This window comes from Homo sapiens, chromosome 11 (genome assembly GCF_000001405.40).
Source record: "Homo sapiens chromosome 11, GRCh38.p14 Primary Assembly".
Taxonomy (NCBI): Eukaryota; Metazoa; Chordata; class Mammalia; order Primates; family Hominidae; genus Homo; species Homo sapiens.
In genome coordinates, this window is record NC_000011.10 from 93,527,609 (window position 1) to 93,545,610 (window position 18,002).

General features: G+C 46.9%; 1 protein-coding gene and 1 pseudogene across 3 annotated transcripts in view, besides 5 other annotated features; one reads left to right on the top strand and one right to left on the bottom strand.

Moving 5' to 3' along the window:
- SMCO4 (single-pass membrane protein with coiled-coil domains 4) overlaps positions 1-18,002 on the bottom strand; it is a 75,508-nt gene that overhangs the window by 49,137 nt on the left and 8,369 nt on the right. Inside the window, exon 1 of one of the 3 annotated variants that reach the window (NM_020179.3) lies at positions 15,668-15,783. The exons of the other annotated variants lie outside the window; for them this stretch is intronic. The gene's annotated coding sequence lies outside the window, so the exon portion shown is untranslated. Of the gene's footprint in view, positions 1-15,667; positions 15,784-18,002 lie in introns of those variants that run through there. 3 annotated transcript variants of the gene reach the window in all.
- SRP14P2 (SRP14 pseudogene 2) lies at positions 7,860-8,208 on the top strand (annotated as a pseudogene).
- Positions 8,393-8,462: an enhancer, noted in NCBI's record as "active region_5396". NCBI's record gives its function as "activates an Ori minimal core promoter by ATAC-STARR-seq in GM12878 lymphoblastoid cells {active_cell/tissue: GM12878}" and the evidence as "EXISTENCE:reporter gene assay evidence [ECO:0000049][PMID:35858748]".
- Positions 10,056-10,602: an enhancer, noted in NCBI's record as "H3K4me1 hESC enhancer chr11:93270830-93271376 (GRCh37/hg19 assembly coordinates)". NCBI's record gives its function as "activates a minimal SCP1, AML or CMV promoter by ChIP-STARR-seq in primed H9 embryonic stem cells {active_cell/tissue: H9 hESC(primed)}" and the evidence as "EXISTENCE:reporter gene assay evidence [ECO:0000049][PMID:30033119]".
- Positions 15,274-15,513: a silencer, noted in NCBI's record as "silent region_3836". NCBI's record gives its function as "represses an Ori minimal core promoter by ATAC-STARR-seq in GM12878 lymphoblastoid cells {active_cell/tissue: GM12878}" and the evidence as "EXISTENCE:reporter gene assay evidence [ECO:0000049][PMID:35858748]".
- Positions 15,644-15,693: a silencer, noted in NCBI's record as "silent region_3837". NCBI's record gives its function as "represses an Ori minimal core promoter by ATAC-STARR-seq in GM12878 lymphoblastoid cells {active_cell/tissue: GM12878}" and the evidence as "EXISTENCE:reporter gene assay evidence [ECO:0000049][PMID:35858748]".
- Positions 15,854-15,983: a silencer, noted in NCBI's record as "silent region_3838". NCBI's record gives its function as "represses an Ori minimal core promoter by ATAC-STARR-seq in GM12878 lymphoblastoid cells {active_cell/tissue: GM12878}" and the evidence as "EXISTENCE:reporter gene assay evidence [ECO:0000049][PMID:35858748]".

Sequence of the window (18,002 nt, forward strand, 5' to 3'; positions counted from 1 at the left end):
ACCACGCATAACTAATTTTTTAAAAATTTTTTTGTAGAGATGGGGTCTCACTATATTGTCCAGGCTGGTCTCCAACTCCTAGGCTCAAGTGATCCTCCTGCCTCAGTCTCCCAAAGGGCTGGGATTATAGGCATGAGACACCACAACCAGCCTAAAAAAGCAATTTTTACGTATATTTCACCACAATAACAAAAATTAGGTTAATATTTGTTTGCTTTTAAGAAACAGGATGGGTTTTGCTATGTAGCCCTCAAACTCCTGGGTTCAGGTGATCTTCCCAACTCAGCCTCCTGAGTAGCTGGGCCTATAGGTACAAGTCACCACACCCAGTATATTTTGTTTTTTTAAAATAGGAATGTCATAGGTTCACAGTGAGAATTAAATAAGATACTGTAATGGCAAGTTCTTACATTGTCTGGCACATACTAAATCCTAATAAATAATAATTAATTATCATTAATAATTTTAATAGTTATAAAGACAGTACATGCTCATTGTAAAAAAAATGCTTAAAAAGCCCTCCTATAATATGAAAATCCAGAGATGACCACTAAAATAAAGTACTTTATGGTCTTTTTCCTACACATAGATATTTCTTAACAAATTTGGAATGTAATTGATATAAAATTTTGTAGTTATGATCCATTCTTTTCTGCCTTACTTATAAATACAAAAACTTCTCACAACATCATCCAGAAATAAAAAGCCTTTGTTCAAGGAAAGGATAAAAAGTTGTGTGAAACTTGAGAAAAGAACAAGGAGATCAGGTTGAGCAACTGGAGACACCCGCCTCCAGAGCCAGAATGGAGATTTAGCCAAATCCTCCACCACCTGCTCGTCTCTGCCTCCAAGTTGGCCCAGAAAGCAAGAACTCTGGGGGTCTGGCCAGACAGGCCATCAGGGAGCACCAGGGCTGAAGCATGTTGAGTTCTGGGGAAGCCCTGTATTTATCAGGCTGGCTGGGATAAAAAGTTCATGTTCCCTGTGCCTAAACCGGCTCTACCTTCCAGGAGCTCGCACTGTGACCAGGGAGACAGTGCAAGGGGCTGCCCAGAGTGGGTGGAGAGGTGAAGGGAGACCCCCATGCCAATCATTTCATCCAACCCTCTAGATTAAAGATGAGAGAACTGAGGCCCAGGGAGGCAAGTAACTTATCGAAGGCAGCAGTGATGAAATCAGAACTTAATGTTCCAGTACCAATCTGGATACCAGAAGACCAACTTCTCAGGGTTCTAAGTGAAATCACAGCATGCCGCCTACTCAGAGCCCAGCAAAGATGCCAGGGCCCACATCCAATACATCCTGTCCATCAACAAGTACGTATTTACTAGATGTTGGGGGCATGTCAGCAGAGACAAAAGCCACCCCTGGGCATAGGACAAGGAGGCTGTCTTATGGGAGGGGAACACGTGGAGCCCTGTCTGGCTCCCACTCGTGGGCAAGGCCTTTCTGTTCTAACTATAACAAGGAAGCAAAGCCTGCCTCCACAGATTCTGAAGGAACACTACCTGAGTCAAAACTTCCTGTAGCACTCTGGCAGAGAAAGGCTGTGCAATTTAAAAGGCAGTTCCTCTAAGGAAGCTCTTTTGATGTGCTAAGGAAAGAACACCCTAAAAATAACTTCTGGAATTACACACTCACAAAACACATTTGTAACACTCACTTTTCTAGCTAGGAATCATCTTCACAACTTTCATTTTGGATGGGTGTGTTTTGTTTGGGAGGAAGGAGGGGCCCCAAAGGCAACTCCTGAAACACTACGGAAGAGCAGCTGCTCCTGGCACTGGAGAATTCTATTTTCATCTCCACTTACACATAATTATCTTCTAAAGCGATGCTCCCCAGAGGGGTCACAATGACATCGGCCTCCCAGATAACCTCCCCAAGCAGGCTGCTTCTGGCACTATCTTGGTAAGTGGAGGCAGGAGAGTCTGAAATCAGGCCCCCGCACAGCCCAGAGAGAGTCTGAAATCAGGCCCCCATATAGCCCACTTCCCCCGAGCCCTCATTACACAAGGGCCAGGCCCCTTCCTTTGGAGGCAAAAAGGAAATTAAATGTCAACCAAATAAGGATATTTCCCTTTAACTCCAAGGCCAAGGAATCTGAAGTAGTGATTCCCCCAGTAACTGGGCAAACTGAACCGACGACACAGGCCACAGACCAGCAGGCCAGGCCCGCTGAGGGCCAGCCTCCGCCTGGAGTTCCTTCTTCTTTTTAATGACCAATACTCAGATTGCAGGCTGAAGTGTTTTTATGACAAATAAGAACAACAATGTGTGAACACTTTGTAGGCCAGTAACAAGGCTGGCAGCAGAGGGCCCTGGGCCCACGTACCAAGACCACACAGCCATCTACTCACTGTCTCCAAAGGTCCTCTTGGATGTTCCTCCCTGTCCCACATTTTCAAGGCCAAATGTGGCCTGCTGACCAGGAGAGCTGACTCAACTCTTTTCACAGCATAGTGATTTTATACACAGAAGAATCCTGGAAGCCCAGAAGAATCCACATAGCTTGCACACTGACCTTGGCATTTTCTAAATCTACCCAGGTTAAAGACCACCTGAATGGCAGGCATGGCGTTCACCAGGCAGGCCCAAGGCTGAAGGGGTCGTGGGGGGAAGAGCCCACCAGTTCACACGTGTGAGGCCCTGCAGCTCACAGCAGGGCAGCTAAGCACACAGTTTCCTAGCAATTCCTGCCACCACAGCCTTGTCTGTTTGCTCTCTCTTCTTCGTGTTTGTGGTTTATGTGTGGGTGGGTGGGTAGGTGAAAAGCATACAGAAAGGAAAGGGTGGTGGATCAAGGGTCAGTACAGCACTAACATTTTTTAAAAACCTGCCTAGAAACAGCTGCTGCAAAATATCTAGGCACACACACAGCTCAGCTACATCCATCTGAACTTAGAAAAGTCCTCAATGAGCTGGCCCACACTACCTGCTTTCATTCATGCTCACAGGCACAACAGTGGCTCCCATCTTACTAGAACAAAGGCCACAGTCCACGCAAAGAAGGACCTCTTGATCCTCATCCTCTTCTTTACTCCCAACCTCTCCCTTTCCTCCCCTGACACAATGGACTCAAATTGTACTGTCCCTACACTTCAGGGCCTCTGCCTGTGCTGTCCCCTTCACACAGAATCCTCTTCCTCCACACAGCAGCTCCTCCCTCTCTCCCCCTTCTCCAGCCCCAAGTGCACACATTCCTTCTCAGCAAAGCCCTCCTTGACCACCTCACCTTCCCCTCTGCTGCGGGACTCTTCCACTTTTTCAGCAGTCACCAATATCTCACATACCACCTGGACAGAACAGAGTCCCAAAAAACTCATGTCCACCTGGAACCTCAGAATATGAGCTTATTTAGAAATAGGGTCTTTGCAGATATAATATTTTAAGATGAGTGTGATGGTTAATTTCATGTGTCAACTTGACTGGGCCATGGGTGCCCAGACTTTTGGCCAAAGATTATTCCTTGTATGTCTGTGAGGATGTTTTCTGGATACAATTAACATTTGAATGGGTAGACTGAATAAAGCAGAATGCCTTCCCTCATCTGGGTGGACTTCATCTAATCAAATGAAGATCTGAACAGAACAAACAGCCTGAGTAAGAGGGAATTCCTCTTGCAGTGTATGTAAGCTTGAGCTGGGACATTGGTCTTTTCTGCCTTTGGACTGACCTGAACTGAGAAACTGGCTCTTCCTGGGTCTCAAGCCTGCTGGCTTTTGGACTAGAACTTACACCATTGGCTCTTCTGGAACTCAAGGTCTCAGTACCTGGATTGGAACTGACACCATTGGCTCTCCTGGGTCTCAAGGCCTCAGTACTTGGATTGGAACTTACACCATTGGCTCTCTGGGGTCTCAAACTTGCTGACTGCAGCTCTTAGGACTTCTTAACCTTCATAAACATGTGAGCCAACACCTTATAATGAATCTCTTTATATACATACACATAACCCTATTGGTTCTGTTTCTCTGCAGAACTCTAACACAATGAGGTCATACTGATGCATAGTAATGTGCAGACAGGTAACACTAATTAATATATTGTACACTTAAAAATGGTTAAGATGGTAAATTTTATGGGGTTTTTTGCCACAGTTTTAAAAAAAGGCAGTTGTGAAAGGAAAATAAATCTTGGGGCCCCCAAATCACTAAGCTAAAGGGAAAAGTCAAGCTGGGAACTGCTTAGGCAAACCTGCCTCCCTTTCTTTTCAAAGTCGCCCCTCTGCTCCCTGAGATAAATGCATATCTGCTTGCTTCCTTTGGAGAGGCTAATCAGAAACTCAGAAGAATGCAACCATTTGTCTCTTATCTACCTATAAGCTGGAAGCCCCTGCCCCATTTCGAGTTGTCCCACCTTTCTGGACCAAATCAATGTTCATCTTACATACACTGATTGTCTCATATCTCCCTAAAATGTATAAAACCAAGCTGTGCTCAGACCCCCTTGGGCACATGTCATCAGGACCTTCTGAGGCTGTGTCACAGGTGCATGTCACAGGCGCATGTCAAAATAAACTCCCTAAACTGATTGAGACCTGTCTCAGATATTCAGAGTTCACACAGTCATACTAGAATAGGGTGGGCCCTAATCCAATGACTAGTGTCCTTATAAGAAAACAGAGACACACACCGTAATGGTTAATTTTAGATGTCAACTTGACTGAACTAAAAGATATCCAGATAGCTAGTAAAGTACTACATCATCTGGGTGTTTCCAGAACAGACTGGTATTTGAATCAGGCAACTGAGTAAGAAAGACTTGCACCAGCACATCCTGCCCCCAAACCCCCAGGTTCTCAGGTCTTCAACCTCAAACTGAGACTTACACCATCAGCTTTCCTAGTTCTGAGGCTTTTAGACTTGGACGGAGTCCCGCTGCCAGCCTTCCTTGTTCTCCAGCCTGCAGACACCCTGTCACAGGCCTTCTCAGCCTCCAAAGTCATGTGAGCCAATTCCCCTAATAAATCCCCTCTCATCTATCTGTCTATGTCCTATTGGTTCTGTCTCTCTGGAGCACCCTGACTCATACACAGACACAGGGGAATGCCATGAGACAGCAGAGGCAGAGACTGAAGCTATGCTCCCACAAGCCAAGAATACCAAGGACGGCCAGCAACCACCAGAAGCTGGAAGGGAGGCATGGAACAGACTCCCCTCAGAGCCCCCAGATCCATGGGAAAACATACTCCTGCTGTTTAAGCCACTCAGTTTCTGGCACTTTGTTACAGCAGCCCTGGGAACCTAATAAACATGTCGTGTATTTTAATCACTATTGTCTGTCATCCTCACTAGAAAATAGGCCCCATGAGAACAGGATTTTGGCTCCTTCTGTTCAGTGCAAAATCACCAACACCTAGAACAGTGTATTTCCTGAATGAATTCTGAGTGAAGGAGGATAAGCTTAAAGGCAGGCAGGGGTGCTATACTAATCCCAGAGGGCCAAACGGAGAGGCAGATGTTCTCTTTTCAGAGACACGAGAGCCAGGGAAAGACTGAATTGGATCTTGCTCATTTATTCGATAAATAATACTGACTGCCACACCAGTCCCCAGGAGAGCTGCTCCATGCAGGAAAAACTAACGACATACATGGTGTGGTGGGAAAGAGGGAGCAGGATCCAGTCTTTGCCCTCCCCTTGATTACAGGTGACCAGGGGAATGAAACCAGCAGACATCAACCTGTGGCTGGCACTGTAGGAATAGAAGAACATGCATATCTCAACCTCATCTCACAAGAACCTTGGGAGGAGTAAACGGCAGACCTTTGTAAAGTGCCTAACACCATGTCTCTTTCCTGCATCTGGCTATAAGCAACACATGGCAGTGCAGGGAAGAAGGGAAAGAAATCTCAACTCCCCAGAGCACAGAGAGCTGGGCCTACTTGTGCTCTGTCCTGGCCATCTGTGTAGCTTGAGGCAGACACTTTGGCTTTCAGGGCCCCACTCAGCCACCTCGAAATAAAGGGTAGAGGTTGCACTAGCAATCCCCTAACCCTCAGTCTATCTAAAAAAAGAGAAAAGGCCTCTGCGTGTGGGGCTCTGATGTGCACAAAGGAGGGGATTCTGCAGGAGCAATGGTATTGGAAGAGAACATCCCAACTCAACTCTCCTGCCCCACCTAAGGCCTCCACCGAAGCCTCCCACCTTCATCCCTTTTAATTCCCATAGCCCCCACCCTCATCTGCCCCGACAGCTACTAATCTCCTGACCTCTTCTCTTTAATGTTACCAGATTAAGTCTACTTATGTAATATGCAAATATGATATGTAGTCACTCATTTTAAAACAGTTATTAGCCAGGTGTGGTAGCTCACGCCTGTAATCCCAACACTTGTGGAGGCCAAGGTGGGCAGATCACTTTAAGTCCAGGGTTCAAGACCAGCCTGGCCAACAAACACAGTGAAACCCCATCTCTACTAAAAATACAAAAATTAGCCAGGCGTGGTGGCGCACACCTGTAATTCCAGCTACTAGGGAGGCTGAGGCAGGAGAATTGCTTGAACCTGGGAGGCAGAGGTTGAAATGAGCTAAGATCGCGGCACAGCACTCCAGCCTGGGCGACAAAATGAGACTCCGTCTCAAAAAAAAAAAAAAAATATATATATACACACACACACACACACACACACACACACACACACACACACACACAAACACATATATATATACATATATACACACACACATATATATACATATATACACATATATACACATATACATATATACACATATATATACACATACATATATATATATATATATAGAGAGAGAGAGAGAGAGAGATACATATATATATGGAAAAGGGAACACAAATAGGTGGAGTTACTTACAATTACCAAGTACTAATTAGGTAATATGCTGAGAGATTTATAAACATTATTCTTTTAATCTTCACAACAACCCTGTGAGGCAGGTACTAATTATTATTCCTAACTTACAGGGAAAAGCTGAGGCCCAGGGAGATAAAATAGCTGCTCAAGGCACACACCCATAAGGTGCTGAATGGGAGCTGGGTCCAGTGTGGCTCAACTCTGCAGTCCCTTCATCTCCCAAGGGTTCCCCCTCCACCACTCCTGCTCTCTGCCCCTTTGAGCAATAGGTAAAGGACTCTGTGGTCCAGTAAGCCAGGGCTTTCCGAAGCCCACTGTGTCCACTGGACAGCCCAGCCTGCAGGGAGGGCCCCGAGATCAGCCCATTCATGGAAGCCACCAGACGCCTTCTCTGCCAGCCCATTGTGTCACACCCCTCAAACACCTTCTAAGAAGTCATCGCTTCTCCCCAGAGCATCCTGCTAAGGGTCAAAGCACCACAATATTCCCATAGCAAGCCAGGAGAGGGGGAATAATCACATGCAACTAGAAGAAAACATCTGCTTTACCACATTCCTGGAGGCTTTTCCAGAAGCAACAGTGCCTGATTTTCCAGCACGCAATCTTTAAGTGTCTTCCCAGTGCCCCTCCCCAGTCTCCAATCCACGCCTCAGCAGCACAGGACAGACTGATCTTAATACTTACGGACCCTTGATTCCTCAGATGAAAGGTTTGGAGAAATACTCTGGCAAGTTACACCAAAATTAAAATGTCCTATTACCATAACTAGCATCCGGGAGAAACAGAGAATGTGAAATCAGGAGCTCTTGCTTCCAGGTACCACAATGCCACCACTGGTGGCATGACGCTTACACCACCCTGAGCTGAGCCATGGTCCTTGAGGGTTTGGTTCCCTCATCTTCTATAGTTGCTATGGACCCACCACTCTTAACATCTACGATCTCAGCAATAAGAATCAAGAAGCCAAATAACCAGTTCTCACTGCTAGGGGCTTAAGCAGAGGGAGTCGAGCCAGAGTCGCCGCGATGGTGTTGTTGGAGAGCGAGCAGCTCCTGACGGAGCTGACCAGACTTTTCCAGAAGTGCTGGACATCAGGCAGCATCATATCACCTTGAAGAAGTATGACAGTCGAACCAAATCCATTCCAAAGAAAGGTACTGTGGAGGGCTTTGAGCCTGCAGACAACAAGTGTCTGTTAAGAGCTACCGATGGGAAAAAGAAGATCAGCACAGTGGTGAGCTCCGAGGAAGTGAATAAGTTTCAGATGGCTTATTCAAACCTCCTGAGAGCTAACATGGATGGGCTGAAGAAGAGAGACAAAAAGAACAAAACTAAGAAGACCAAAGCAGCAGCAGCAGCAGCAACAGCAGCACAGTAAAGGACATACATTTCCTGCTTTCACCAATTAACCACTGAATTGCTATTTTTTCCTTTTGGCCACATAGCTAGGTTTCTGGTTCCCCCACAGTAGGTGTTTTCACATAAGATTAGGGTCTTTTTGGAAAGAATAGTTGCAGTGTTTATAGGATAGTTGTGGTAAGAATCTAGTTTATTTTGCATTTGGCTAATTGGTCTGTGCTGCATGGTTATATACTCCTGGATTATAGATAAAAAGTCTCCGTAGACATCTCTGTGAAGAGCAAGCTATCATTAAACATGTCTGTTTATCAAGAAAAAAAAAAGAAGCCAAATGATGAGGTTTGCAACCTCACCAATAATAAATGAAATGCCTACTGAACAATGATCCATTTCTTTCACCCAGGGGAATGGCAGCCCATTACCACTGACAACAGGAACTAGCACATCTCTTGAGAGCATAGTATGGGTACTGCTGCAACATTTTAAATGAATTTAACATTTGACATGCCAATTCTACTCCTAGAGAAACATGTGCATACTAATATGTATGAATGAAGATATAATAGCAAAACTAATGAGTTAGTTTATATGTCTACCAGTAGGGGACCAATTCATAAATTATGACATAACTACACTGGAAAATATTTTGTAGGCAAATAAAAGACAAATTAAAAGAACAGAGAAGAGCTACATGCATGAAAAGCTCTCGAAAATATACTATGTGAAAAAAGCAGTATGATGCAATCAGATTCATGCTTCTAAAAGAAGGAAAACCATAGTGTATTTGTGTATACAGGCTTGACAGTTTCAGGACACGGATCCAACTGCTAACACCAGTTATCTCTGAGGACCTGGAGGAGCTGGCACCTGGGGAGGGGTGCTGGGTGAAGGGGAATGTGACAAGTCTGCTGTGTCCTTCTGCACTATTTAAATGCAAGGGCAGGCTGCAGGAGAATACATTTACATATTACCTATATGATTTCAGAAAAAAAGCACCTAAACTGATTAAAAAACCACCACCACCAAAACAAGCTACTTATGCTGATGTGAAATTGCTGCACCAATTTGAACAGGTTTCTATGCTGCACTTCCAGGTCTTCCCAAGACTGACAAAGTTCAAGCCAATTTCTGCAGTACTGATGACAGACTGAATTGGGACTAACAAGGAAGAAGGAAAATGTGGGATGCAAGGAAAACATCTGTAAAAGCTCTGTGGAAGCTGCAAACCAGTCCTACCCTGAACCTGCTCATCACCAAAACTCACTAGTTCTGGGGCCTTCCTCCCTCTCATCCCTATAGGATGAGAAATAAGCCAAAACCGGAATCAAGAGAGAATTCCCTTTCCCACGGCAGAGGGAGGCCTCCACTGTCACCAGCAGAGCTGCTCCCAGGCAAAGCCAAAGAAACGGCCTGGCCAAACTCCACCTTCCTGACAAAGGCACCATGTGCCAGGCTCCTGGGATTGCAGGGACAGCCAAGACTGGCAGCCCTGAAGCCCACGCATTTGAGTCCCTCCACTTCGGCAAACAGCCCAGGAATCTTTTCACACTCACTACTGAAATCCAAACTGAACCAGTATACAAATCAGATGGTCCTGCCAACAAAACAGGAACAAAATGGAAAAAAGGGTGATAAATCAATGATATCCTGGCTAAATATATACTTCTTCTTTCTGCTTGCAGGGGCACTGCTATAGATTTAAACCTTTGATAAATATCTTTTTTGCTTCCCAGTAATAATTAAAGCAAACACACCCAAACACGCACCTAAACACGAAGCAAAAAGAACGAGAAAAGGGCTTTGCTCAGGACATAATGTTCAAGAGGTAGGCATGACAGCTCATATCCACAGGCAGAAATGCTCTTCTCCCATTAAAACATGTACCTGTCTGGCACGGGTTCTTACCCCACAAAAGAAACAACTGGACACTCTAGGGGACTGCCGAGAAGTGCCCTCAGAACAAGAAGAGGTTCCCTCTTTGAGGGAAAAGTGTAAACATCAAGCAGAAAGTGGGTGAGCAGACTCTTGCACGGAGTGACTCACCGGCAGAGACAGCTTGTTGCTGGAGATGCTGGGAGCAGGCAGGTCCAACAGAGGTAACCTGGCTTCCTCCTCGCAGCGAGAACACAGCCCAAATAAAGCCAGAATCTGACCACCTGACCTCCGGCCTGACCAGAGCCAGCACAAACTCTCAGAAGGGCAGGGATGTTGCACAATTTGGAAAAACGGAAGCCCAAAAGCAAGTTTATGACCACGTCTGGCACTGACTAGGGGAAAGGGCACAAAACCAGTATATTCCTGACATGGCAACAGTGCGTCCTACCGATGACAGGACATGCAGACCCCAGCCAATCATCTCCTTGGGCTCTGATGCCCGCTTCCCTGAGCATGGCTTGGCGCCCCGCAGAGACTGCACCCGTCAGAGGAGGCTGGCCTCGACTCCTCTTGGGGCTGGCCATTATGTTCACTGCCACTCCTGCTTCCCAGTCAACCCCTGCAAGTTTGGTGACCACAAGTTAACCCCATCTAGGGCAGATCAACTCTTATGGAATAGCCAAAACTGAGGACCAAACCCTGGTGGGTCCCCTGTGCCACCAGGGAAGAGGGGTGTGCAGACAATACCCCAGGAAGGCGTCTTCCCTTCCACACTTCTAACCTTGACTAGCATTTCCCAAAATGCAGTCTGAGGAATCCAACTTCATTCTCTGCGATGCTCCTGGAAAGTTAGGAATGATAAGGCTGGGGTGGCACAGGGAAGGGAAGGCCCTTTCGGACTGTGCTCAGCCACCTTTCTCTAGCTGTTAGCAGAGACCAAAGGAGGCACTTTTGGTTTCTGCAGAGATTGCTTTTAGCCTGCACATAGTCAGCATCTCCAACACCCATCCCTGGGGCATCAGACCTGAAATGGGAAGGGATGATGCAATTCTAGTATCCAAAGGCACTAAGCTCTATGGATTCCAACAAGCCCCCTCTTCTCCGCAACCACTGCCACTGTCTTAATGTCTTCTGTTCAGGCCCTCATCTCTCAAGACATTACTTTAATGAACTAGTTTCTCTACACCTAATTTCTACTTGCTTCACTTCAAAACTCCAGACAGCCACCGAGCTACCTTTCTAGAATACAGGCCTGACCCTCTCTGCCTACAGGACTAAGTCCCAACCCTGGCACAGCATGCAAGGCCCCTGCCTGCCTTTCCAGCTGGAAGCATGGGCTTTGGAGTCCTACAGATCATTGCAGTGACACTTAGATAAACCACTTGCTGGCTATGTGAACACACATGTGTTTCTGCACCCATTTCCACATCTGTGTGTTGGGAATAGCATGATCAGCCTCCCAGAGCTACTGTGAGGACCGAATCCAAGTTCTAAAGAGCCTAGATCTCACCAACCTAGCTCCAGGGTCCTCTCTCTTTCCCATCTTGCTATACCAGCTCTTCATAATCAATGAGAATTGACTCAAGGGTAAAAAAAAAAAAATACATGCAAGATCTAAAAATGAAGGGTCATAAATTTAAAAATTAGGCCACCACAATGTGAAAGAAACCAAAATTAACTCATTATCAAAATAATGTAGGAGGACGGAAGGAACAGGAAGAGAAGGAAAACAGTACATTTAGGAAGAAATGCTTTTAAAATATAAGTCTCTATGATGTTTTGAGCCTCATTTGCTCCAAAGATTTAGGAAGATGACATTTCAAAAGCTCACAAAGACGACACTTCTACTTTTTAAAAACTATTTCCTAATTATTATCTTCAGAGAACTAAGAAGTACTTTCACAGACTGAATGTTAATAAAATTCTCAGAGGAAATTCTGGCATCAGTCACAACAAACACCCTCTTGGAATTTAATTTCCTTTCAGCATACAATTTACTATGGAAACTCATTTGTGATGCCACCACAACCAGTCAAAATCTGCCTGGAGCACAAAAACTTCAGAGTCCCAAAAGAGGGCCTTAAAGGACTAGATGGAAATTGGTCCCATATTAAGCCAAATCCTGCATCTAACAGAAATTTCCCCCACACCAAACTAGCTTTGACCGTCAGCCAGCCCACTCCTCTCTCTAGCTGCCCTATACTATAGGCTCTTCCAGGGCCCCCTTCCAGCTAGAACCCCCTGAATTCTGTATCTTTTCCCTGTCCAACAAAATTAATTTAAAAAAAAAAAAAAGGAGGAAGGCCACAAAATGGGCAAAGGGAAACCAGCTACATCCATTTTCAACTTTCTATCAAAGACCTGTCCTTTCTGGCTTACGATTTTTTCAATTCCCTTGGACAAGACAATCACAGGCCCTGGAATATTCATTGCGCGTGCTGGGGCTTAGGGTGGGAAGGCAAAAAGGCTAGAAGAATCATTGATAAGTACAAAAAGTACTTTAAGCCTTTTCCCCCTGAGGACAACTGCTGAAAGACTTACTCAATCCCATTGACCCAAGTACCTGTGTGCAAGGGAAAGGAGTGGATGCCAATCTTTACTCAGCACCCACTGCAATTAGTGGGTACATTTCTTGAATATAAGACAGACAGTATTATCCTGATTTTACACATGTGGAAACCAGGCTCAGAGAGGTCAGGCAGCAGGTTCAGTATTTACACCCAGGCCTGCCAGACTCCCAAGACGCTTGAACTTAACCACTTCACCACACTGCTTCCAGAGTCTACAAGTGTTTATGTTAAAATGTGCTGGGTTAGGGAGCCCGTTAAGAGTTTACTTGTTGCTCTTCACATACAGTATCTCATTTAACTAGCACAACCCTGTAGGATAGCTGAGAATTCCTTTTCCACTGTTAACAAAATGGTACATGGATTGAAAGATCATCAGTAACTTATGCACGACAGCTGTACCAGAGTCGTGCCATCTCTTGGCTTTGTTTTCTCTCCTGTAAAATGATGCTCACTCCTACCTCACAATGCCTGCTCAATGGCAGGGGCTCAAATGGTGACGATTATGATTTTTATCAATACTTCTCAATTAAAGTAAAATTTATACACACACAAACACTAGATATTTTAAAGACTCAACCTAATTAATCAAGCCTTTACTTGTTGGAGAAGATATCATTTTTAACACTACCTCATCTGGTCTGAAAAGGAAAGTAGTTTAAAAAATATTTGGAAAAAATTGTTTAATAATAAAATACCACTACCTCAAACTCAGAGAGAACCACTAACTGCAGCTTCCAAAAAGCTGACAAAAAAGGATTACTGAAAATGATGTGGTCAAACCCAATATGGATTTTGAAAGCTACTAATGGACAAGAACAGGAACATTCAGTTATGACAAAATACACACACAAAAAAAATTCCTCTTCTTCCAGCACCATGGCTTGATCATTAATGTGTGGTGTGACCCTGGCCAAGTCACTTCAATGCTGTGATGGCCCTCAGCACCCAAAATGTCAAGGCCAGCTTATGACCAGGAAGCTCTAGTGAGAAGTTGCCCAGGGGGTCTAGGGGACAGGAGCGGGGTGGAGGGGACACAGATGATTGCCTGGAGCAATTTTTAATGTGCTGCCTCTAACTCACTGCTTGCCTTTTACTACACTCATCTGAAAAGAAATGAGAAGTCTGGGCATGCCAGAGGCAAGAGGAACCAGCTCACCACTTCTCAAGCCAGAATGGAAAAGATGGCAGAAGCATAGTTGTACAAGGACCCCAGCATCAGTCAGACAGAAGGAAACCTATAATATTATGCAATGAGAGACCCTGAGGATGTTCTTCAGACAAACCCCAGCAGGACCAATCCAACTCCAAGCTTGAGCGTCCACTCCAAGCTTGAAGATTAAACAATAAGAAAAAATTCGGGTCCACAGGTGAAATACACACTTTCTAAGCACAATGAGCAACTTTATAGTAGATAGCTGGACAACCAAGTACACTAACTGCAAGCATAAGAACAGTATTCATGTTGTAAATCGAGTACCAACTACTATTAGTTTTTTGTTGTTTTGCTTTTTGCAATATTTCTTCTCATATTTTATTTTAAATCTAAGCTAATTTCTTTATAAGAACAGGCTAAGGCTTATTTTCTGTGGCTGATCCAGCCTTACAAGAAAAAAGATTTCACTGTGTCCCTCAGAAACCTACTCCTGTCTACATCACACTGTCGAGCTCTCTCTTTATACCCCATGTGACAGATAAGAAAACAGAAGTCCAGAGAGAGCAAGTGACTCATCCAAGGTCAAACTTCTTGCTAACACATCTAGGACGAGAATAAGGGCTCAAGAAGCCCACTATGGGTCTCTTGCCGTATCACTGCTGCAAATGACCAGGCATACTGGTGTCTTGAATACAAAGTTTATTTGTAAAGGGGAAAAAAAAAAAGCCAACATGAGTCATCTGCATTGTCAACGGGCTCCACACAGGTTGTTCTAATAAAGCATCCAGCACCTCCAGAACCACTTGTTTCTGAAAGCACCAACCTACGCAGACACTAGCAGGCCATGTCTTCCACCCTTGCCACCCTCGAGGCTGTGAGCAGATGCGCTGTTGGGCTCTGGGGATCTAGAGGTGTCACTTAAAGAGCAAGGGAGCCTGGAGCTTGGCAGTACTGACTGGATGAGTGGATGGGTGGGTGTATGAGGACATGGGAGTGTTTTCTGACAGCTCCCGGAGATAGTTATGATATCATGCAGCCTAATCCCACTCATCTTGGAACACCCCAAACATCTCATCCGCTCAGCTGTCCCTCCTCAACTTCCTCAGGGCAAAAGCACTGCAGTCTGAGGTGAATCTGGCCGCTGGGGAGGGGCGGTAGTCGGCCCCAGCAGCAGAGGAAGCAACGCTCAGCTCCCTCCTCCACCCACCCCGTACAGGAACTCCCCACTGGGTCTTCAGATGCCAGAGGCGTACCCAGCTCGGAGCCTGCCCCGGGTCTCAGGGTCGGTCCCGAAAGAACGGGGGAGGAGGAAGGCTCTATCCCGCCCCCGCCTCACCTCTACTCCCCGACCCCCAGGCGCCGACCCTTCTCACCCGCAAGGTCCGCCGCCGGACTCTTGTCCACTCCCAGAGACCCTGAGCGCACCCCTTTCTCGGCGTCCTCAAAGGACCCGCGTTTCCCACCTTCCCATACGGGGCCCTCCCGGCCGCCCCGGCCCAAGCCCTTTGCACTGCGTCCCCCGGCCCCTGAGTCCGCCCCGCACCCGCACTTCCCGCCCGGCCCCGCGGGCTCGCGGTCCGCCCCAACTTTTCCCAGCCCCCGCCCCGCAGCAACCGGGATGCAGCGTCTCGAGCCGCGACGGGCAGGCGAGCTCGAGTCCCTCGGGCCCCCAACCCCGCCCGCACGAGTTGCGCTCGGGACCCGCCGGGCGCCCAGGCCTGGGTCAGCAGCACTGCGCGGAGGCGGAGCCGGCGTGGCGGGAACCGTACTGTCCCGGCGCCGCACCCCCGCCCGGTGCCCGGTGCCCCGTGCCCCGCGCCCGCCCGCCGGCTCGCCCGCCCCGCCGCCGCCGCCGCCGCGCCGCTCCCAGCCCACCTGCCCGCGGGCGCCGCCGCCGCCGCCGCCACCACTGCCGGGAATACGTGGCAGTGGCCGCCGCCGCTTGCGCTCCCCGCCTCGCCTCTCCTCTCGGCGCCCGCGCGGGCGACTCTGGCGCGCCAGACCGCAGCGCCAGGCGCCCTCTGCCGCCGGGAAGCCGAATCCTCCCGTCCTAACCCTAACTCGCTGGCTGCCCCCGCCCGGGCCTCGGCTCCCGCCCCCTCTTCCCCGTTCCCGGCTCAGACTGTCGCTTCCGAGCGACCTGGGTTCTCGCCCGGCCTGCTGCTGCCGCTGCCTCCAGGAAGTTCGCCCTGACCACCTCTGCAGGCTCAGCGCGCTTCCTCCGGCTCCCGCGCAGCGGGTGCTTAAGTCACCCCCTTGTTGATATATTTCCTGCTTCTTTGAACGCCTCGCCCGTGAGATAGCAGAATCGGAAAGGGGATAGTTGGAGGCAAACGCCATGTCTGTTGTGTTCACCATTCTCTCCTCCAGGGCAAGGTTAGCGCCCTGTCTGGAATACTGAAGTGCGCAATAAATACTTGTGAAGAGAGCAAACGAGTAGATGAATGAGTTGAGACTTTTACCGCTGTCTACCCAAGTAGGCTTTGAAACCTCAAGCGGACAGAGATCCTGACCTGGATTTGTTTTTTGTAACTTACACGTGCATATGTGTGCGCAGCTCAGCATAAATAAATGAGATTCACAATTCCCCACCTCGGACCAGCGCCAAATCCGCAAGAGGCCCACGGCTAAATGTTATTCAGGGCTTTTGGTCAAACACGTTTAGGTTTGAGATCTACCTCTTAAAAGCTGGGCAATCGCGGGAAAGCTCATCTCCCTGGCCCACAGTGAACACGTCTATAAATTAAGAATAATAAAACCTACTTCACAGAGTTGTGAGAATTAATTGAGATGGTGCACTATAAAGTTCTTTACGCAGCCCCGATGTGTGCGGTGGTATGTAAATGGTAGTTATTGTTGTATTACTACTGATGCAGTAGGTGATTTTAAAAACTATCTTCGAAATGTAAAATATTGACTACCTTTTCACCTTAAAACCTTTATATGTGTGGTATTGTCACCTGCTCAGCAAGGCCAGCCCGGGGAGCAAGGCCACTCCTGTAACCTCTTCCCCTCCACCGGTAAAAATATAACAAGTCTTGGGGTTTTTTTGTTCTGTTTTGAAGAATTGTGGAACCCACTCTTCTGCAGGTTTTCCACCTGGATTTCTGTGGCCAATCTCTTAATTAACAAGTTTTTATTTTAGGGATGTCAAAGACAGGGAGCCCTTTGAAAGCACCTGCAGTCTACTGGCTCTTCCTGTTTTCTTCCTGACCCTCTCTCAAACAACTTAAGGCTTTTTTTTTCATTTTTACAGGAAGTGTCCTTCCTGCTGCGTACAAAAGGCAGCAATGCAGTAGAGTGGGATCAGAGGGGATTGGGCTGCATACACCTTGGGCTTTCTGCACCTCAGTCCCCTCAACGGTAAACTGTGGAGAATAAGACCTTGTCACATTGGGAGATCATTCATGATCCGGTCTGTGAAGGAAATAAGGAAATACCTGAAACACAAAGATATTTAATAAAAGGCAACTATTGATCAGTTTATTTAGCATGTATTTAAGGAGCATCTTTTTAGTGTTCTATGCGCTGAAAGAATGAGGGGAACACGCGTGTGTGAGGTAAGTTTCCTACCTTCAAAGGAGTTTGAGCTGTAGCTCCACACTAGGGCAGAGGGATTGGGAGCATATGGGATGCAGCTAAATATGAAATTAGCAAGCCTCAAGGTTTAAATTGGGGCAGTGGTACTGCCGTGTGAATTGCTTTAATTCATTATCATTGTAAATGCCATTTTCCTCTAAATATTATGTACACAACTTCCCAAGGCCACTGCTAAAAATTAATGAATAATTTTATGAGGCAAGCAGAGCCACTGATGTAGGACTCAGTCCCTTAATAAGGTGACTCCACATGCTCCCTTATAGTAGTAATAACATAGATATTGTGTCTGTGAAAGTGCCATCCTTGGCTGGGCGTGGTGGCTTACCCCTGTAATCCCTGCACTTTGGGAGGCCGAGGTGGGTGGATCACCTGAGGTCAGGAGTTCGGGATCAACCTGGCCAACACGATGAACCCCGTCTCTACTGAAAATACAAAAACTAGCTGGGCGTGGTGGCAGGCACCTATAATCCCAGCTACTTGGGAGGCCTGAGGCAGGAGAATCACCTGAACCCAGAAGGCGGAGGTTGTAGTGAGCTGAGATCATGCCACTGCACTCCAGCCTGGGCAACAAGAGTGAAACTCTGTCTCAAAAAAAAAAAAAAAAAAAAAG